Below are 21604 nucleotides of genomic sequence, written 5' to 3'. Positions count from 1 at the left end.
TGTCAGATGAGTAGGTTGCAAAAATTTTCTCCCATTTTGTAGGTTGCCTGTTCACTCTGATGGTAGTTTCTTTTGCTGTGCAGAAGCTCTTTAGTTTAATTAGATCCCACTTGTCAATTTTGGCTTTTGTTGCCATTGCTTTTGGTGTTTTAGACATGAAGTCCTTGCCTGTGCCTATGTCCTGAATGGTAATGCCTAGGTTTTCTTCTAGGGTTTTTATGGTTTTAGGTCTAACGTTTAAGTCTTTAATCCATCTTGAATTGATTTTTGTATAAGGTGTAAGGAAGGGATCCAGTTTCAGCTTTCTACATATGGCTAGCCAGTTTTCCCAGCACCATTTATTAAATAGGGAATCCTTTCCCCATTGCTTGTTTTTCTCAGGTTTGTCAAAGATCAGATAGTTGCAGATATGCGGCGTTATTTCTGAGGGCTCTGTTCTGTTCCATTGATCTATATCTCTGTTTTGGTACCAGTACCATGCTCTTTTGGTTACTGTAGCCTTGTAGTATAGTTCGAAGTCAGGTAGTGTGATGCCTCCAGCTTTGTTCTTTTGGCTTAGGATTGACTTGGTGATGTGGGCTCTTTTTTGGTTCCATGTGAACTTTAAAGTAGTTTTTTCCAATTCTGTGAAGAAAGTCATTGGTAGCTTGATGGGGATGGCATTGAATCTGTAAATTACCTTGGGCAGTATGGCCATTTTCACGATATTGATTCTTCCTACCCATGAGCATGAAATGTTCTTCCATTTGTTTGTATCCTCTTTTATTTCCTTGAGCAGTGGTTTGTAGTTCTCCTTGAAGAGGTCCTTCAAATCCCTTGCAAGTTGGATTCCTAGGTATTTTATTCTCTTTGAAGCAATTGTGAATGGGAGTTCACTCATGATTTGGCTGTTTGTCTGTTGTTGGTGTATAAGAATGCTTGTGATTTTTGTACATTGATTTTGTATCCTGAGACTTTGATGAAGTTGCTTATCAGCTTAAGGAGATTTTGGGCTGAGATGATGGGGTTTTCTAGATATACAATCATGTCGTCTGCAAACAGGGACAATTTGACTTCCTCTTTTCCTAATTGAATACCCTTTATTTCCTTCTCCTGCCTAATTGCCCTGGCCAGAACTTCCAACACTATGTTGAATAGGAGTGGTGAGAGAGGGCATCCCTGTCTTGTGCCAGTTTTCTAAGGGAATGCTTCCAGTTTTTGCCCATTCAGTATGATATTGGTTGTGGGTTTGTCATAGATAGCTCTTATTATTTTGAGATACATCCCATCAATACCTAATTTATTGAGAGTTTTTAGCATGAAGGGTTGTTGAATTTTGTCAAAGGCCTTTTCTGCATCTATTGAGATAATCATGTGGTTTTTGTCTTTGGTTCTGTTTATATGCTGGATTACATTTACTGATTTGAGTATATTGAACCAGCCTTGCATCCCAGGGATGAAGCCCACTTGATCATGGTAGATAAGCTTTTTGATATGCTGCTGGATTCGGTTTGCCAGTATTTTATTGAGGATTTTTGCATCAATGTTCATCAAGGATATTGGTCTAAAACTCTCTTTTTTGGTTGTGTCTCTGCCCAGCTTTGGTATCACGATGATGCTGGCCTCATAAAATGAGTTAGGGAGCATTCCCTCTTTTTCTATTGATTGGAATAGTTTCAGAAGGAATGGTACCACTTCCTCCTTGTACTTCTGGTAGAATTCGGCTGTGAATCCATCTGGTCCTGGACTCTTTTTGGTTGGTAAGCTATTGATTATTGCCACAATTTCAGATCCTGTTATTGGTCTATTCAGAGATTCAACTTCTTCCTGGTTTAGTCTTGGGAGAGTGTATGTGTCAAGGAATTTATCCATTTCTTCTAGATTTTCTAGTTTATTTGCATAGAGGTGTTTGTAGTATTCTCTGATGGTAGTTTGTATTTCTGTGGGATTGGTGGTGATATCCCCTTTATCATTTTTTATTGCATCTATTTGATTCTTCTCTCTTTTTTTCTTTATTAGTCTTGCCAGCGGTCTATCAATTTTGTTGATCCTTCAAAACACCAGCTCCTGGATTCATTAATTTTTTGAAGAGTTTTTTGTGTCTCTATTTCCTTCAGTTCTGCTCTGATTTTAGTTATTTCTTGCCTTCTGCTAGCTTTTGAATGTGTTTGCTCTTGCTTTTCTAGTTCTTTTAATTGTGATGTTAGGGTGTCAATTTTGGATCTTTCCTGCTTTCTCTTGTGGGCATTTAGTGCTATAAATTTCCCTCTACATACTGCTTTGAATGCGTCCCAGAGATTCTGGTATGTTGTGTCTTTGTTCTCGTTGGTTTCAAAGAACATCTTTATTTCTGCCTTCATTTCGTTATGTACCCAGTAGTCACTCAGGAGCAGGTTGTTCAGTTTCCATGTAGTTGAGCGGTTTTGAGTGAGATTCTTAATCCTGATTTCTAGTTTGATTGCACTGTGGTCTGAGAGATAGTTTGTTATAATTTCCGTTGTTTTACATTTGCTGAGGAGAGCTTTACTTCCAAGTATGTGGTCAATTTTGGAATATGTGTGGTGTGGTGCTGAAAAAAATGTATATTCTGTTGATTTGGGGTGGAGAGTTCTGTAGATGTCTATTAGGTCTGCTTGGTACAGAGCTAAGTTCAATTCCTGGGTATCCTTGTTGACTTTCTGTCTCGTTGATCTGTCTAATGTTGACAGTGGGGTGTTAAAGTCTCCCATTATTAATGTGTGGGAGTCTAAGTCTCTTTGTAGGTCACTCAGGACTTGCTTTATGAATCTGGGTGCTCCTGTATTGGGTGCATATATATTTAGGATAGTTAGCTCTTCTTGTTGAATTGATCCCTTTACCATTATGTAATGGCCTTCTTTGTCTCTTTTGATCTTTGTTGTTTTAAAGTCTGTTTTATCAGAGATTAGGATTGCAACCCCTGCCTTTTTTTGTTTTCCATTTGCTTGGTAGATCTTCCTCCATCCTTTTATTTTGAGCCTATGTGTGTCTCTGCATGTGAGATGGGTTTCCTGAACACAGCACACTGATGGTTCTTGACTCTTTATCCAATTTGCCAGTCTGTGTCTTTTAATTGGAGCATTTAGTCCCTTTACATTTAAAGTTAATATTGTTATGTGTGAATCTGATCCTGTCATTATGATGTTAGCTGGTTATTTTGCTCATTAGTTGATGCAGTTTCTTCCTAGTCTCTATGGTCTTTACATTTTGGTATGATTTTGCAGCGGCTGGTACTGGTTGTTCCTTTCCATGTTTAGTGCTTCCTTCAGGAGCTCTTTTAGGGCAGGCCTGGTGGTGACAAAATCTCTCAGCATTTGCTTGTCTGTAAAGTATTTTATTTCTCCTTCATTTATGAAGCTTAGTTTGACTGGATATGAAATTCTGGGTTGAAAATTCTTTTCTTTAAGAATGTTGAATATTGGCCCCCACTCTCTTCTGGCTTGTAGAGATTCTGCCAAGAGATCTGCTGTTAGTCTGATAGGCTTCCCTTTGTGGGTAACCCGACCTTTCTCTCTGGCTGCCCTTAACATTTTTTCCTTCATTTCAACTTTGGTGAATCTGACAATTATGTGTCTTGGAGTTGCTCTTCTCAAGGAGTATCTTTGCGGCGTTCTCTGTATTTCCTGAATCTGAATGTTGGCCTGCCTTGCTAGATTGGGGAAGTTCTCCTGGATAATATCCTGCAGAGTGTTTTCCAACTTGGTTCCATTCTCCCCGTCACTTTCAGGTACACTAATCAGACATAGATTTTGTCTTTTCACATAGTCCCGTATTTCTTGGAGGCTTTGTTCATTTCTTTTTATTCTTTGTTCTCTAAACTTCCCTTCTCGCTTCATTTCATTCATTTCATCTTCCATCGCTGATACCCTTTCTTCCAGTTGATCGCATCGGCTCCCGAGGCTTCTGCATTCTTCACGTAGTTCTCGAGCCTTGGTTTTCAGCTCCATCAGCTCCTTTAAGCACTTCTCTCTATTAGTTATTCTAGTTATACATTCTTCTAAATTTTTTTCAAAGTTTTCAACTTCTTTGCCTTTGGTTTGAATGTCCTCCTGTAGCTCAGAGTAATTTGATCATCTGAAGCCTTCTTCTCTCAACTCGTCAAAGTCATTCTCCGTCCAGCTTTGTTCCATTGCTGGTGAGGAACTGCGTTCCTTTGGAGGAGGAGAGGCGCTCTGCTTTTTAGAGTTTCCAGTTTTTCTGCTCTGTTTTTTCCCCATCTTTGTGGTTTTATCTACTTTTGGTCTTTGATGATGGTGATGTACAGATGGGTTTTTGGTGTGGATGTTCTTTCTGTTTGTTAGTTTTCCAACAGACGGGACCCTCAGCTGCAGGTCTGTTGGAGTACCTGGCCATGTGAGGTGTCAGTCTGTCCCTACCGGGGGGTGCCTCCCAGTTAGGCTGCTCGGGGGTCAGGGGTCAGGGACCCACTTGAGGAGGCAGTCTGCCCGTTCTCAGATCTCCGGCTGCATGCTGGGAGAACCACTGCTCTCTTCAAAGCTGTCAGACAGGGACATTTAAGTCTGCAGAGGTTACTGCTGTCTTTTTGTTTGTCTGTGCCCTGCCCCCAAGAGGTGGAGCCTACAGAGGCAGGCAGGCATCCTTGAGCTGTGGTGGGCTCCACCCAGTTGGAGCTTCCAGGCTGCTTTGTTTACCTAAGCAAGCCTGGGCAATGGTGGGCACCCCTCCCCCAGCGTCGCTGCCACCTTACTGTTTGATCTCAGACTGCTGTGCTAGCAATCAGAGAGACTCCGTGGGCGTAGGACCCTGCGAGCCAGGTGCGAGATATAATCTTCTGGTGTGCAGCTTTTTAAGCCAGTCAGAAAAGCGCAGTATTCGGGTGGGAGTGGCCCGATTTTCCAGGTGCCATCTGTCACCCCTTTCTTTGACTAGGAAAGGGACCTCCCTGACCCCTTGAGCTTCCCAAATGAGGCAATGCCTCGCCCTGCTTCGGCTCGCGCACGGTGCACGCACCCACTGACCTGCGCCCACTGTCTGGCACTCCCTAGTGAGATGAACCCGGTACCTCAGATGGAAATGCAGAAATCACCCGTCTTCTGCATCGCTCACGCTAGGAGCTGTAGACCGGAGCTCTTCCTATTCGGCCATCTTCCTAAATTTATGAAAGATGTTATGTTATTGTCTGCATGGTGATAAACTCATTGTTTGCACCTGGTGACGAAATACCTCTCCTTAAGGAAAAGAATTTAGAAGGATTTGTAGCATGATTCTGGTGCTAGCAGTGCTAACCAGCAAGGAGAACCAAAGCTTTCTGCCTGATACAACTACACTGCCTATATGGCTGGGAGGGTATGCAGACTCCTCAATGGTCCTGATCTGACCTGACTCTACCTTAAGAAGCATTTGTATAACCTAGGGACTGCAGAGCTAGAGTGAGAAAGGAGTGGGATGACTACACACTCAGGCATGGTGGATATAAATATATTATCTGGCAAGGGAGTAGGACTACAGACCATGGCTGGGATGATCAAGTGTGATTATTGTGATTAATGTGATCAAATGTGATACTGGCACATTTGCAACTTCCTCAACATCTTCTCCCAACAAATATTTCCCAGTAAGGATTAGTAATGAAACCCTTACAAAGGGAAGGACTTGCATGGCAGGTATGCTTGCAGTTCAGAACTTTATTTTCTACATCTCAACTTAATTTCCATTTTGGACCTCCCTTAGCAGGATGGCAGAAAAAAATTCATCTTCCTTCAGGTTAGTCCTGGGATGATCCTAGGTCCTGGTTTGCCTGGGACAGTCCTAGCTTACCCTAGCATCATTATATGTATTGATCCATTTTCATATTGCTATTAAGAAATACCCAAGACTGGGTAATTTATAAAGAAAAAGAAGTTTAATGGACTCACAGTTCCACATGACTGGGCAGGCTTCACAATCATGGCGGAAGGTGAAGGAGGAGCAAAGGCTCCACATCTTACGTGGTGGCAGGCAAGAGAGCTTGTGCAGGGAACTACCCTTTATAAAACCATCAGATCTCCTGAGACTTATTCACTATCATGAGAACAGCACAGGAAAAACCTGCCCCCATTATTCGATTAACTCCCACCAGATCCCTCCCATGACACATGGGGATTATGGGAGCTACAATTCAAGATGTGATTTGGGTGGGAATACAGCCAAACCATATCATTGTAAGTACTCTCAAATGTGTCCTGGTGTCCACATTTGGTCACCTTAGTGAATCACCTCTTCAGTCCTCATGTCATCTCAAAGTTTCAAGAGGTTGACATATTTTGGGAGGAAGGAAGAGGGGTCTAATTATTAAGTCACTCAGATGTTCTCTGAAATATCCATAATTTTGGCTTGTGTGGGCAATCAGACCTGGGGACTGGGACTTTGTGTCCTATGCTTGGGTAGTGGCATCTTTCCAAGTTTGTTTATGTCCTGATGCAGAGAGGCTGCATGGGATCTATGCTTCCCTGATACAATGCCAAGAAATTAAACCCTAGTCCATGTGGGAGGCAACCTGGTATCCATGCTCTCCTTGCCTGTGGGAAGGATCTACTGATACTTCTAACAGACATGATACAGCAAAAGTGATGGGCTGTCACTTCTGACGTTAGGTTACAGAAAATGCTGACTTCCATCTTGCTCTCCCTCTCTTGCTCTCTTGCTTGCTCACTGATGGAAACCAGCAGCTATGTTGTGAGCTGACCTAGGGAGACACCCACATGGCAAGAAAGGAACCCTCAATCCAACAGCCCAAGGGAGCTGAACCTTTCTAGTGATCACGTGAATGAGCTTGGTGGCAGATCATCCGCCAGCCAAGGTGCGAGATGACTGCAGCCATGACCAACATCTTGATAGAGGCTTTGTAAGAGGCCCTGAGCAAAGGATCCAGTTAAAGCAAATTTAGATCCTGACCCACTAAAACTGTGATATCATAAGTCTTTGTTGGTTTGAGTTGCTAAGTCGTGGGGTAATTTTTGACACAGCAATACGTAACTAATGCAGCTCTTTCTGCTCTGGGGCTTTGCATATCTGTGTTAGGTCTTATTGATATAAAAAATTAGAGAGAAAAACCCTTCTTGTAATAACAATGGCTTTTATTTTTTGTATCTGATGCTGCCATATCTGGGGTCCTGCTAGCCCTGATCCTCCCAGGGTTAGCCAATAACTACAGACAGTAAGTAACTTGCCCATAGGTGGGCTTTGTGAAATACAAATCAACCAATAAGGAGCCCATACCTCAACCACATTTTTTACTGGGCTGGCCTCTTATACTCTGGACCACTATCCACTGGTCCTAGTCACCCCAGAGCCAAGTGCTGGACCACCAGAGACAACCCTTATGCCCCAGAGCCTGCTAAAATTATTCAAACTAGCCATCCTAAACCAGCTTACCCTGCTTAGCCTGTTTCTTCATTAGAAACCATAATAAAACCTCTTGCCCCATTCCCCACCATCTCTCTGCCCCCTGATCAACCCTGCCCTGTTTGGGCCCCCTACTTCCCTTTGGGAAAAACTATGAATAATGAACTGTCTTTTCAACAAAAATCATCTCCTGATCTGTTGCCATTACTAGACCTCAAATTTTCTATTAATTCACTATATTTTAAAAGTCTCCTCTTTTCTTCTTTCCTCCAACCAGGGACATCTTTTGTAGTTTTGTAGGTTTACAGGGAAGCTTCATTTTCCCTCCTGCTTCTGGTCAAACATTTTGTCTGAACACCATACCCCTCTTGTTTACTTAACCACTAAATGTCAGAGATCATAGGTTTTTCCTGCTCTTAGTCCTGTCCGTGAGCCTTCTTTAATGTAAAAGGGAAAAAAAAGGAAATATTGGGTAGAAAATGCAGATGTAAACACCACAAGATATTCTGCCATAGATGTGCATCTGCCTTCAGGAATGAATGTGAAGCTTCTCCAAAGGCAGTCCTGAAAGAGAGGACCCCAGAAAATAACTGAACAGGAAATAGATACAGAATGAATCTTTACGAAGCAGGCTGGGCCTGAAGGCAACCTTAAGCATTTACATGGCAAAGAGAGCCATCAAAAGTTCAGTAAACTGATCAAAAATGCACAAACAATGGGGATTCTACATGTAGGCTTTATTTTTAAAAGAACTAGTTTCTTCTGTGTTCCAGCTCTAGGAATAAGCCTGTGACTAAAATAAATTCTGCCAATAATGTTGACTTTTGAATACCAAAAAGTTTTGAAAAAATGCCCTTGGATATAAAATTAGACGAAAGAAAACACACAAAGGCCCATTCTAAGTGTGCATGTATTTTTCCGTTTCCTCCCACCCCCTGCAGTAAACTTATATTGAGTAGTTCATTTAATAGAAGACTTCTTGAAAACCACAGACCATGTGGTAAGGTTTGTTTTACATGGGTCACTAATGTGGAAAGCTTTGATACCTTATGTTGAAAGTAGAGCAGTCAATTAATTCCATGAGTGTGAACTTGGCATAGTATCCAATTTACCCTTAGGGGAAAACTGCCAGGATCCAAATACTGGTTTCTAAATAAAATACTCAGTTCTCTGACTTCAAGCTAAAGCATGTTGCTTTAATTCATGAAGCATGAACTGAAAATTCTGTCTTTTTTCTGTTCTCTTGTTTTCCTTAAAGGAATCCTGGGCATAACTTGACTGCAGAAGGATAGGAATTCTGCTTCTTCATTCTCTGTAGAAAAATGCATGCTCATTTTGCTCGCATTCTGTATTAGTCAGTATATTATGGGTTATGCTTCAGTAACAAACAATTCCAAAATCTTAGTAGCCTGAAGCAAAGATTTATTTCTCCTTCACACTGTATAAATAACAGAGGTTGGTAGTCATTTTTGATTCTGCATAATGGCTTGTGATCCATGCTGATGGAACAGCCACATTTCAAATGTTGCTTATGTTCATGCCAGAAAGGAAAAAAAACATTCTGGAGGATGCAAAACTTGCAAATAAATGCTCCAGTTCTCACCCCATTGGCCAGTACTAGTATCATGGCCCCACTAAAGCATAACAGGGCCCCAAATTCAATCTTTATAAGCTCAGAAGGAGAGGATAACTGGATTTAGGGGAGGTGTCCCAATGATTACCACAGGGACATTGCAGAAAACCAACTGGAACCACACAAATAGACACCAGGCCCTGCTGCCTTGCTTGTTGTCATGCTAGACCCCTATTAACTTCGTTAGAGATGGTACCACCTTCTAGAGGATGAAGAAGAGACCTGGAGCCAACAAAGAAGACATAGGGTTCATTGAGGAGACTTACATACAGGGCAGTTCAGTGGCGGCAGGCTGGACAGGAGAACCACAACCACTTGTAAAAAGCATGTAATTTATACAGCATTTTCACTTAGCACCCTCCCCCTAGCAACCTCCGCCTGGCCACTTTCATTTAACCCCAACAACAGGCCTAGATCCCCTGTACAGCCTGCATTTCACAAGATGAGCTAGGGATTCAGATGCTCCTCATAGATAAGGAATGAAACTCTGGGTTGGCTACTCCCAGATTCCTTAGCTGGGAACTCTGAACACACAGTCTTCTTAGACCACAGGGCCACTCTCAGGGTATGCTTCAGTTAAGTTATTGCTGTCAGATGTGTCTGCTCCATGCCTAGGGAGGATTCTACTACTCTGCAAAGTCTCCAGGCACTTTTCTTTCATCTCCATCAATTAATCCTTATTTCCTCTTTTGCTCATTGTAGAATCCTCTTTTTAAGCGCTAAACAAGTGGTCCTTACACATGGGTGCACATTATAATCACCTGGGGAAGTTTTAAAGCATCATAACCCCCAGACCCCACCCAAAACCAATTAAATCAGAATCATTTGGGTATGGGAGCAGCATCCAGTCATCAGCACTTTTTAAATCTCCCCAGGTGAGTCAAATGTGTGACAGAGTTGAAAAATACTGTTTTAATGCCTTAAATTAATAACCTGATTATGGCCTTCATTTCAGTATTAACCTTTTGGGAGAGGCCTTACGGGGAAAACACCAAGTCCCTGGACAAGGGGAAGACACCAAATCCCTGGACTCAGGCCTCACATGATTGAGTGAGAGGAACTCTGCTGTCAGACCCTACAATGCACTCTTCAGTGGAAGAGGATCACACATTCCAAACATACTCCATCAGGTGACAGCCCTTGCTTTTCTTCCAACTACCATACCAAACTGCCAGAAAATGTCATTTCTAGAGGGAAAAGAAGGAATAGAGCCAATTACTTGACTTTAGAAACAGAGAGTCATCCTATTCCTGTTCATTATTGTTACATAAGAAGCAACCCTGTAATTTAAAAGCTGAAAATATCACTTACTTATTTTCATGACAAATATGGAGACAACAGTGCCCTATGCAATGTTATCCAGGTGGCTCACCTGGCGCTGAATGACTTCACCTAAATAGCTCACTCACCTGGCTGGCAAGTTGGTGCTGTGAGTTCCTTTCCATACGGGCCTCTCCATGGGGCACCCTTGCACCTCCTCACAATACCGTGCCTGGGCTTCAAAAGAGAGAATTCCAAGCGAGAGAATCTCAAGAGAATCAGGCTGAAGATGTATTTTTTATGACCTGGAAATCACATACTGTCACTTTTGCTGTCAATCGCAAGTCTGCCCATATACAAGTGGAGGGAACAGAGATACCATCTCTCAATGGGAGGAGTTTCCAAAACACATAAAAAGAGCAAATGGATGGGAAATAGTATTGTGGCCATTTATCAAAATGTATTCTGTTACATATTAAAAGTTATCCTTTAAATAAGAGGTAAAATTCTACCGTGATTTACAACATTAGCTCTAGGATAAAACTTATAGGTTCTTCTTACTGGATGCAGAAACTTGGTTGAGTTTCTTACCCTTTGCTCTCAACACTTCCCATGGCTTAATTTTCAGTTGTAAAATGGATATTCTTCTTAGCTATTAAGAATAGTGCCCAACTTACATACAATGTGATCATAGATCTTTCTTTCCCTGCATTCACTATATACCTATTATCCTGACACCCATACACATTAGCACTTGCCCTATATATATGTGTGTGTGTGTATATATATATGTATATGTGTGTATATATATGTGTGTATATATGTATATATATGTGTGTATATATACATACACATATGTATATATATGTGTGTATATATACATACACATATGTATATATATGTGTGTATATATACATACACATATGTATATATATGTGTGTATATATACATACACATATGTATATATATGTGTGTATATATACATACACATATGTATATATATAAATACATTTTAATTAAAATATAAAATTAAAAATATTAAGTTAATTAAAATATAAAACTTAGGGCAAATGCTAATGTGTATGGCTGTCAGGATAATAGGTATATAGTGATTACATTGTATCGTTGTAGACTTCTTTAAATTCATCCCGTTTGGAATACTATAGGTTACATGGAGTCTGGATTTCCATTTCCCTCCCCTAGATTTAGGAAGTTTTCACTGTTATTTCTTTGAATAACTCATATGGTCCTTTCTGTCACTCGTCTCCTTCTGGAATCACCATGATGCACATATTAGTTCACTTTATTATGCTCCATAAGCTCCATAGGCTTTCTTAACTCTGTTTTATTCTTTTGTCTTTTTGCTCCTCTAACTGGGTCATTTAAAATGACCTGATTTTGAGCCCAGTGATTCTTTCTTCTGATAAAATTTGCTGTTGATGTTCTCAAGTGAATTTTTAAAATTTAGTTATTGTATTTTTCTGCTTCAGAATTTTTGTTTGGTACTTTTTAATAATTTCTCCTTGTTGATATTATAATTTTGTTCAGGTATCGTTTTTCAGATTTTAATTATCCATCTGAGTTCTCTTGTAACTCACTGAGTTTCTTTAGGATATTTTGAGTCCTTTGTCAGGAAATTTGTAGATTTACATTTCTTTAAGGTCAGTTACATGAGATTTATTTTGTTCCTTTGGTAGTGTCATATTTCCCTGATGCTTTGTGTTCCTTCTAGTTTTGTCTTGGTGTTGTGCATTTGAAGAAGCAGCCGCCTCTTCAAGTCTTTACAGACTGGTTTAATCAAGGAAAGACTTGCACCAATCAGCCTAGCTAAAGATTCTTGGAGCCTCTCAAATTTTTTCATGGAAGTACATGCTCCACTCCTCTTCATCCTTCCTGAGAGAGAAGGTTCAGCATTATGTGCCTTTTCTCCCTCCCACAGAGCCTAGGCAGCTTCTGAGAACCACTAGGGGAGTACACTGAAATGCATGGACATTAGGTACAAACTTCATTTCCCTCTCTCTCTTTCTCTTAAAGAAGAAGTCTCTACATTGTGTACCCTCTCTTAATCCTGCAATGTATGGCACACTGCTAAGAGCTGCCTGCCCCTTGGCCTTAAGTCAGACTGCTGGAGTGCTGGGAGGTAAAGTGCAAGCTTCACTTCTCTGCATTCCTTCTGAAGGAGAAGTCTCAGGATTGTGCACCTTCTTCAAATTCTGCAATGCCATGCAGGCTGCTGACAGCTCCTGCCCCTTTGCTCTGTGGTTAGGTGCCCCAGCTGTTCTAACTAGGAAGGTTGCTTCAACACTCTGAGTGAGGGAGACAGGGGTAAATCTCTCGGGGAACACCCCAAAATGCTAGGGATATCAAAAGCACACTTCACTCACTCACTCTCTCAAGGAAGAAATTGCAGGCTGAATGAATCTTCCTCAATAATGAGCTGTGCCAGCTTGGGGGAGGGTTCTGACACAGTTGAAGTGAAACTGTTCTTATTAACTGTTTTAAGGTGTTTTTTCTTAGTTTTATGCCCACCTGAGGTATGCAACTTCTTAATTGGATTCTAAAATTCACATACAGGCATTTTGGCTCAAATACATGTATCGTGGCCAAAATATCATTGTTTTTATCAGTGTTTCTATGAGGAGACAAGGGCTTGGACCTCCTGTTCTACTTCTTGCTGACGTCACCACCTGCAGTGGTTTAATTTTGATCCTCTGTAGTTGCATGTCAGCATAATTTGATTTTAAAATTTTCATGTTTTGATGGAGCTCCTATTTCTGGTTGAATAAATATATATTCTCCATCAAAATGGAGTAAAATTCAGAAGGTCTATGATTTTGAAGCATCTGTATATAGTGAAACATTCAAAATAATAATGCAGAAAATTTATCTGACATGTTTTGTCTTGTAAAAATACCTTTTAAGAAAAAAAAGTTTTCAATGGAAGAAAACAGTACTTATGAAAATATTGGGGCTTAAATATTTACATACTTCACTATGAAAAAAGTTTTAATTGATAAGTCTCACTTTTAGCAATTTTGTCTGAATTACCAAATACCCTAACACCTGAAGAGAGAGAGTTTTCTAAACTAACAATATTATGCCATACAAAGAAATGTTAATTGATTGTGTCAACATTTATATATTTATCATATAAATGTTGTATAATGTCATATAAAATATAGCCTCAAATAAGATGACATGTAATTTTACAGAAAAATAAGACTATATTGAAATTTAAAAATTCAGAAAAATACCAGTAACATGGTATTACAGAATGCTTTAAAACTGATTGAGTTATGGTATATTCCAGGAATAACCAAAGACTATTTTAAATCTTTGGGTAAGTAGTTTAAAGAAGGTTTTCTTTAACATATATAATTCACATGACTATATGTTACTTTATTCTTTGTATATTTCTGTTTGTTAAAATATTTTTGTGAATGTATAGGTCCACTAGTATAATGAAATTAATGTGTAGCCCAGTACATAAATCCTTCAAAAAGTCATATTATTAAAATTACTTGAGCATTGCCTTTTAACTCTGAAAGTACCTTTGTTTGTATGATAAATTATAGTCACATTGTTAGTGATTAGTAATTACAATTTCTTCTTATTTTTAAATTTAGTGACCATATACTGTAAATTGGAATTAGTGTGGTACATATATAATTCATAATTGCATCGAAATAAGCTATGATATTTTATCACTCAAAATGGAAGCTGCAGCTGCCAAAAGGTGTAAATATTTTGCACGTTACAGTTAGAACGACTTAACTACTATGATATTTCCTCTGTGCTCAAAAACTTCAATTCTTTTTTTCTTCCTAATTTCAAACTCCTCCATCACCTGGACCAACATTCTGCCTTTCAATTCCCTGGTTTTTAACCTTCTGGCCTAGGATGCCTCACAATCACCTGCCATGTTTGTAAAAATTGTCCATTTCTGGGCCCTATCCCTGAACTGCTGAATTATGCTTCTAATTCAGTAAGTCTGAACTGGAATGCAGGAATTTGCATTTCGGTAGGCTCTCTAGATGATCCTGATACAGTTTTATTATTCTAGGACAAGGCATCACAGTTTGAGGAATACAATTTTAGTTTCTCATCTTCTCCCCATTTCACATGGCTACTAGAATTATTCTTTCAAAATCCAAGTGACATTTCACTGCTGTTGGATTGAGTCCAAAGTTTTTAGTGGTGCATAGAAGAATCTTCAATGAAGGGGCCAATGATTGGCTCCCTCCCATCTACCCTGCACCCCTGTATTCAGGATGCATCTGCCAAGGATGTGTGTCATGGTGGCATGAGCTGCTTTGATCTCTGCTGTGCATGTACATGGCTTGCAGAATCCAGCATAGAGCAGAGCTTAGCAAGCCTTTAAAGCTCTCTTACATCCTAGAAATCTCTGCCAACTCTCTGCCTGTTCTTCTGAATACTGTTTGCCCCAAATGGGTTCACAATCTCAGGCAAACAGAGCTGCTGGCCCTCCCTGTTCACTTACCACCAAGTTGCCCCTTTAACTGGCAATGCTCCTAATTAAATGAACCTCTTTGCCAATAAGTGGACCCTCAGGGCCCTGAACCAGGAAGTGTGCCCTCACAAGACACTGAATCTGTCAGTGCCTTGTCCTTGATCTTCTCAGCCTCCAGAACTATGAGAAATAAAGTTCTCAATAAATAAATTGTTTATAAACCTCCTAGCCTATTACAGCAGCCTGAAAGGATGAAGACACCATTTCTGCAGGAACAGTTAAGCTGGATGGTTTTATGAATGTTCTGCCTGCCCTGGTTGAGCTACTACAGTGACAGAGTTGGGAGGCTAGAAATAGCCCCTGGGAATAGAGCCACAGGTTCATTCTGTTCTTAACCAAGATCCAGTAGTTCTCATGAATAAGCCCTTCTCAGTAAGTTGCATGCTTTTGATCAGATTCTAGAGTGCTGTGAAATGGTTGTTTTTGACCATTTTGTCCACTGTTAGAGTTGCTTTTGGGGGAAAGGATTTAATTTCCCTAGTAGGAACCACTCCCATAGCAGATCTTAAAGTCCCATGAACTCTTCAGAACAGCTTTTATGTGTGTGCATGCACGCATGCACACACGTGTGCACATTCGCACACACATACACACACCCTGTACTCCCTTGGGCGTGGCTATATAATACTATTAATCACCAGTGAAGCATGTGTTTGAAATTAATGTTTCCCCTGGCAGTGGGGATGACCACACAGAAATATTCACCCTCTTCTCGTCCTTGTGACCACCACAATTAATTTGCATGGTGACTGTTCAAGATGAGAAGCATTGTCTATCCTATCCTTTTAGAACAAAATTCAAAGATCCCTCACCCCTTCACCTCATTATAATTAGTAGCACATTCCAAAAGCCTGAGCTAAAGAGTGCCTCCAGCTCACATGAGTTTAACGGCACTAAAATTGTACCAGCTCAAAGTGTAACAGACCCTCTGCAATACTGCTAGAGCTTCCAGGGTGCTTTGAAATATTTTCCCTTCAAAAAAATTCACGAGCTCACACTGAAAACATTCTGAGAAAGTTTCAACAAAATAAGGATAAAGGATTGTTTAAATATAAAACACTCAAATCTTTTTCATGTATTGTCTAAGCTGATCTGATTAGCTCATGAGAATAACTCCAAACTCCTGCCAGAACATAACAGGTTTTCTACATAGGTCTAGTTGGAAAGAGAAAGAAAAACTATATACAGCTGTTCCAAGGCTGGGAAATGCTGTGCAGATCTGACAGCAGCTGTTTGCATGCCAAATAGTTCCAGCAATTTCTAATTAAATACAGCTCAGGAGAAATTTTATGATCTGTGTCACATGATTTCTGTCTGTATCTGGGATGCTTTTTCTCCCCCTATTTAAAAGCCCCTCCAGTGAAGTCTGCCTATTTTCTTAATCATAAAGGGCTAACTAATCTAGATGCGAAAATATTGTTTTATTCTCTGACGTTAGCATATCCATAGGAGTCCATTGCCGAAGTTCTGCAGGCGAGGGATCTTCAACCTCTTAACTCTAAACACTGAGCAATTGTGGATGAATGGGGTGTGAGTTGCTCCCTTCTTATAGCTCCTTCACGATGTCTCTATTCAAAAAGTGAATGGCATGCACATTTGTGCTTTTCCAGCTTTGGCTCAAGACTGCTAACTAATAATCCTAAATTAACCAGAAGAATAGGCTGGTATAAATTTTGCCAAACACACTCACGTATATTAACTTATTTACAATTTAAAGCAATCACGTGAAGGAAGCTGGCCAGATATTATTATCCCCATTTTACAAATCAGAACACTGACTTTCTCAAACACTAAGTTATTCCTGATAAATATTAAGGTCACATAACAGTAGTTGCCAGGTAAGAACTTGGCAGCAGACTTTCCAGTCCCAAGGCCATTGCTGATTCCACATGGCCCACTCCCTCCCTCACCTCATCAGCTGGACAGACATATCCATCGGTTCCTACATTCAAACGGTGTCATTTGAATGTAGGAACCAATGGAACCAGTGTCCCCAAGAGTGTCTATTTATCCTGCAGGAAAATTATCCATATATTTGAATACCTCTGTGACTCAAATTACATTTTTCTATCACTCAACAGAAATGTAACATAGCTTGGTTCTATGTGGGGCTGACGTGGATTGATATGGAGGCACGAGACAGATCTGAGAAAGCACTGGTAGTAAACACTAAGTAGCCGTAAATACTTAAAATTAAGTATTCTTGCCTGAATTGCACAACAGTCTCATTTCTCTGGGACAGAAGTCCCAGAACTCAACCTATAATGTACATTTTTAAAAGCCCTGAGGCCAATGGACTAAAAGAATCTAAGCCACACTGAAATAAATGTCTGTGAATAAGATTTTCATTAAGGTAAACAAAATAACAGCCCATCACCCTTTGACATGTTTATTCAGACTATTAATGCTTGTTTCCATGTGATACGACATTCCTAGACTATTGGTAAGTGTATGAGGGGCCTGTGGACACTTTTGCTCCATTATTAATGAGATCGACCAATATGAAAATATTTAATGGGACAAAATTTAATGAAAGTACTTAACTGCCAGCTTATTTGATTGTTTTCTGAGTTTATTACTCAGGGTAATTAATACTAGTTATTGCAACAGATAAACCTACAAACCAGTGACATAATACCAAAAAAAAAGTCTAGTTTTTACTCTCACAAAATGTAATGAAGTTTGGGCAGCTCTGGGTGGGTAATTCAGGGATTCACACTGCTCCCCTGGGATGTTTTAAAGCACCACATATGGAAGTAGCAAACATCACTTACATGCATGTGACAGTGGCCAGTTTCATTGCCCCAACTACACAGCAAGAGGTTTAGGAGAATGTGGTCTTCCTGTATTCCCAGGAAAAGGAAGCAGTACAGGAAACACAGAGCATTCTATGCAACAGGGCTTTCTCTGTAACCCCATCATTCCAGAAGTACCAAATACTCTGTTCTGGACAGATATCATAGCCTAAGGAGAGGAACTTTGTAACCTTTTCAGCAGGAAGGGTCACAAACCTTAGAGGGGCTTCTCTGTTAAAGAGTTACTCTCAAAGCTTTAGACTCATGCTCATAAAGACTGGGAAGAGACAAGGCCAGGCATGGTGGCTCATGCTTATAATCCCAGTACTTTGGGAGTCTGAGGCGGGTGGATCACTTGAGGTCGGGAGTTCAAGACCAGCCTGACTAACATGGACAAACCCCATCTCTACTAAAAATACGAAATTAGCCGGGTGTGGCGGAGCATGCCTGTAATCCCAGCTACTTGGGAGGCTGAGACAGGAGAATTGCTTGAACCTGGGAGGCGGAGGTTGCAGTGAGCCAAGATCACATCATTGCACTCCAGCCTAGGCAACAATGAGTCTGGGTAGGCTTAGCTATCCAGACCTGTCATTTTAATTTCATAATCCAATAAAGATTTTCTGCCAAAGATCTTTATATATATACTTAATTATTGCTGAACTGACCAGGGGAAGCTTTTTCTGGATAGTTTGAATAACCATCTTGGAATCTTAATTGTCCATGGAATTTTGGATTTTCACAAAGGTCTACTCATGTTCAACAATGTCCAAAGGCATTGAATGAGCCAAAGAACTCTCTCCCTTATAGCACTATTTATTCTTTTTGTGTAAAACACTGACGGTGGATGTACTCCTGTTCGTATGTCACAAGCAGTTATTCATTTTTAACAGCTTTTCTCAGAACTGACCAAGAAAAGATATCAATGTGATAGTGCCTGATTATACTTATCCCTTCGACCATGTAGATGCCGTTTCTTATCTATGTAGTCATCATTTCGTAGACATTAGGATCCTGATCTTCCTGAATTCAATTTTTTTCAAGGCTTAGGAAACCAAGCTGTGTAGGTCAGTTCCAGAGCATATGCAGTCAAAAGGTTTTGTTTTCTAAATTTCTTCTTGTGGAGGACACCATCAGCCTTACACATCCATATCCTGCCCTCTGTTATCCCCACTTCCATGAAAAAAAAGTGAGACCTAAAATAATATTACCAGCCTTCCACAATACATCGAAGAGTGAAGTATGAATAAAATATGGAATGCTAAATTCCAGTCATACATATTAATCTGTTTTGCAGGTTAGCTGCTCAACTTTTACAATGTGGATGCCTCAGGCTCTTTAGAAATATAGTATGCCTTCAGATTTTAAAACAAATTAAATAAGACCTGTCAGTTCTCAACAGCTCTGATCATAGGTTTACTATACATATTTCTTTCCCCAAGGGTGGAATGATGTATGTAAACCTAATAGAAACTGGATTTCAGTTTCTTATAAAGCACAGTCCATACCATGTTGACATGGACAATATCAAATTTTCTCTCATCTCGAAAACATTTCAGATTCTATGGCATATAAGCATGTCAAGAGACAATTTTCTGCCAATATGTGAGAGTTGTACGTTTCACGTTCAAAGTAGAATTTATTATATCTGAAGACAATGCAGTGTAGCCCTGGGAATTTTGAATGTATTACAGACAAAATGAAAAGGGTCAATAACGTGGATATCTGTATCTATTTATCCACTTTCCAAGGTGCATAGTGTCCTTTTTGGCTTGGAAAATTATACATTAGAAACCAAAGAACCCTGTTAGGTCATTTAACTACTCTGCACACATTTCATACACTTTAAAGTTCATCGTGTATTTTCTAAAAATAAAGAAAAACCTTACAAGTATCAGAAAGTGATGTCCAAATTTGTTTTAGTTTTATTTCTTTTTCATGGTACATTCAATTTGATTTATAATATATTAAGAATTAGCACAACTATATAAGTACAGGGCAGGGCAACATTTTATAAGCTTTTTGTATGGAACACTTAATACCACTAGAAATAGATCCCATGGTCAAAAAAATTGGGTGTGCTTGGATAAATAAAACTAAATAGATTTATTTTATTGAAGGATTTTTCAGAGCCCTTAATAAACTAATATATATCAAGGCTTTCAATGCTGAATTGCGTTAGAGGAGGAAAAAAAAAAAAAGACTTTCCCAAAGGTCTAGTCCCAAAATGCTGTCTTTCCTAAACTTACTTGGCCACCATAAACTTTTTTGGCCGACCTCTTTAACATCTTGACTCATACTAGTGTTCTACAGAAGAGAGACTGAAAAAGTTGCAATGGGGACTAAAAACGTCTCTTCAATTTCCTAGAGAATACATCCTTACTGTATCTGCACAGCGTTGAAGGACTTTAGCAGCTAAGTGGAAAAAATCAGAACAAATTAGTTCAATGTGGAAAAGCTGTGTAGACACACCAAAAATTTATTGAGTTACTACAATGAAGTATCAATGCTATATATTTAAAATAAAAACCTAATAAAGAAAATAATCTAATTGAGGCAAAATTCAAACTTTAAAAAGTAAAGTAACAAAATAGTTATATGCAAACTAAAATACGTACCTCACACATAACTCCCATTTCTTCCTTTTAAAAATGATTAGGGAGCCCTCTGCATAGTCTAGACTTTGAGCTAGTCACCAAGGGCACAGCAGTGAGTGCACACCTGCAGTCTCCTCTTGCACAAAGCTTTTGAAGGTCCCTGGTAGTGCCATTCAGCCATTGTGTATATCTTTGCTCCTGGCAATATATACCATCAGTCTTACTTTAGGTTTACCACAATTATACTTACCTTCAGGAAGAGAAATTAACACTTCTCTTATTCCACATTCTACAATAAGAGAAAACAACACTTTTTACTAAAGAATTATACATATAATTCAGCATGTAATGATTAAATATTTTCTTCTGAAACCTTTTAAAATACGCATGTGGTACTCTCTAAGCAATTATTGCAGTTAGAGCCAAAAATGACATTTTTTATCTTAAGTTTCTGTTAAGTTTACAAAACAACTTTTTGCAAGTTTCTTTTAGACATTTACCATCCAAGAAACCACGAGGCTACTATGCTTAGGAAATGTCACAATATCCCCCCACACCATAAAGGAACTGCATTACTCTACTATCTCCAGGCAGAGTCATATGTTTTCCAAACAAAACATGAGCTAATCTAGAAGTTGTTTTTTTTTTTTCAATATGTAAACTTCCATTTTTTCCATGCTTGCCAGGTTAGAGATGGAGCCAAGGAGACTATAATATTAGTGGACTGCAACTTACTTTTGTAATATAGGAAAATGCCATCCCTTCCAACACGTCTAAGGTCAGGATAAGGTGGGAAAGGGGATGAAATTGGATTGAAAGCTCTTTTTCTTTCCAATTTAAACCACTCTCCTTTGCCCATCCTCCCCTTGGGGCTTTGGTACCAGAGGAGAAGTGAAGAATCCTGGTGGTAATGGAGGAAGATGCTTGGATGTGTTTGGAGTAGTCAGGGGAGGAGCACAAGCAAGAATGGCTGAGCATACACGTGTCAGTGCAAAGTGGGGACAAGAAGGGAAGCACCTTTAAAATATGAAGGCTGTTACTGGCTTTCTTATTATTTCTATTGATGTCTTCATTCACAGCAACCATTAAGCCTACCTTTAGAGCAACAAATGAGTCAGATAGTTCATAGTCTCCTGATCTCTGACCATGTGCCCCTGTCTGTGTATTTGTCTTACTAGTTCAGAGTCTCTATCTTTTCCAACACTGCATTCTCTCTTCTCGTGGTAGAAATTACAAGCTAGTGGTCCATGGGCCAAGTCTAGCACACAGGTGGGTTTTGTTGGGCTTGGCTTTTTGTTTCCTTTAAATGAGAACCCAAATAAAACCAGGATATTTCATATAAAATCCAAGCTTTTGGCTTCTTTTGAAAAACTGGAATGTCTCACAACTTTGGCCTCAATATTCTTACAAGGTACAACCAGCTGAAACAGAGGAGCCTCAGTGCTCTAAT

The 21604-nt window shown here is 39.6% G+C and overlaps 1 long non-coding RNA gene across 1 annotated transcript in view, besides 1 other annotated feature; it reads left to right on the top strand.

Moving 5' to 3' along the window:
* Positions 4289-4874: an enhancer, noted in NCBI's record as "OCT4-NANOG-H3K4me1 hESC enhancer chr5:15271753-15272338 (GRCh37/hg19 assembly coordinates)". NCBI's record gives its function as "activates a minimal SCP1, AML or CMV promoter by ChIP-STARR-seq in naive H9 embryonic stem cells {active_cell/tissue: H9 hESC(naive)}" and the evidence as "EXISTENCE:reporter gene assay evidence [ECO:0000049][PMID:30033119]".
* The window catches only part of LINC02149 (long intergenic non-protein coding RNA 2149), a 74915-nt gene continuing 63268 nt past the window's right edge, over positions 9958-21604 (top strand). Inside the window, exon 1 of the long non-coding RNA NR_109944.1 lies at positions 9958-10104. This is a non-coding gene — a long non-coding RNA (long intergenic non-protein coding RNA 2149). The remainder of the gene's footprint in view (positions 10105-21604) is intronic.

The sequence above is a fragment of the Homo sapiens genome, chromosome 5 (assembly GCF_000001405.40).
Source record: "Homo sapiens chromosome 5, GRCh38.p14 Primary Assembly".
NCBI lineage: Eukaryota > Metazoa > Chordata > Mammalia > Primates > Hominidae > Homo > Homo sapiens.
Note: the sequence above shows the minus strand (reverse complement) of the source record. Positions and strands in the feature narration are given on the sequence as shown.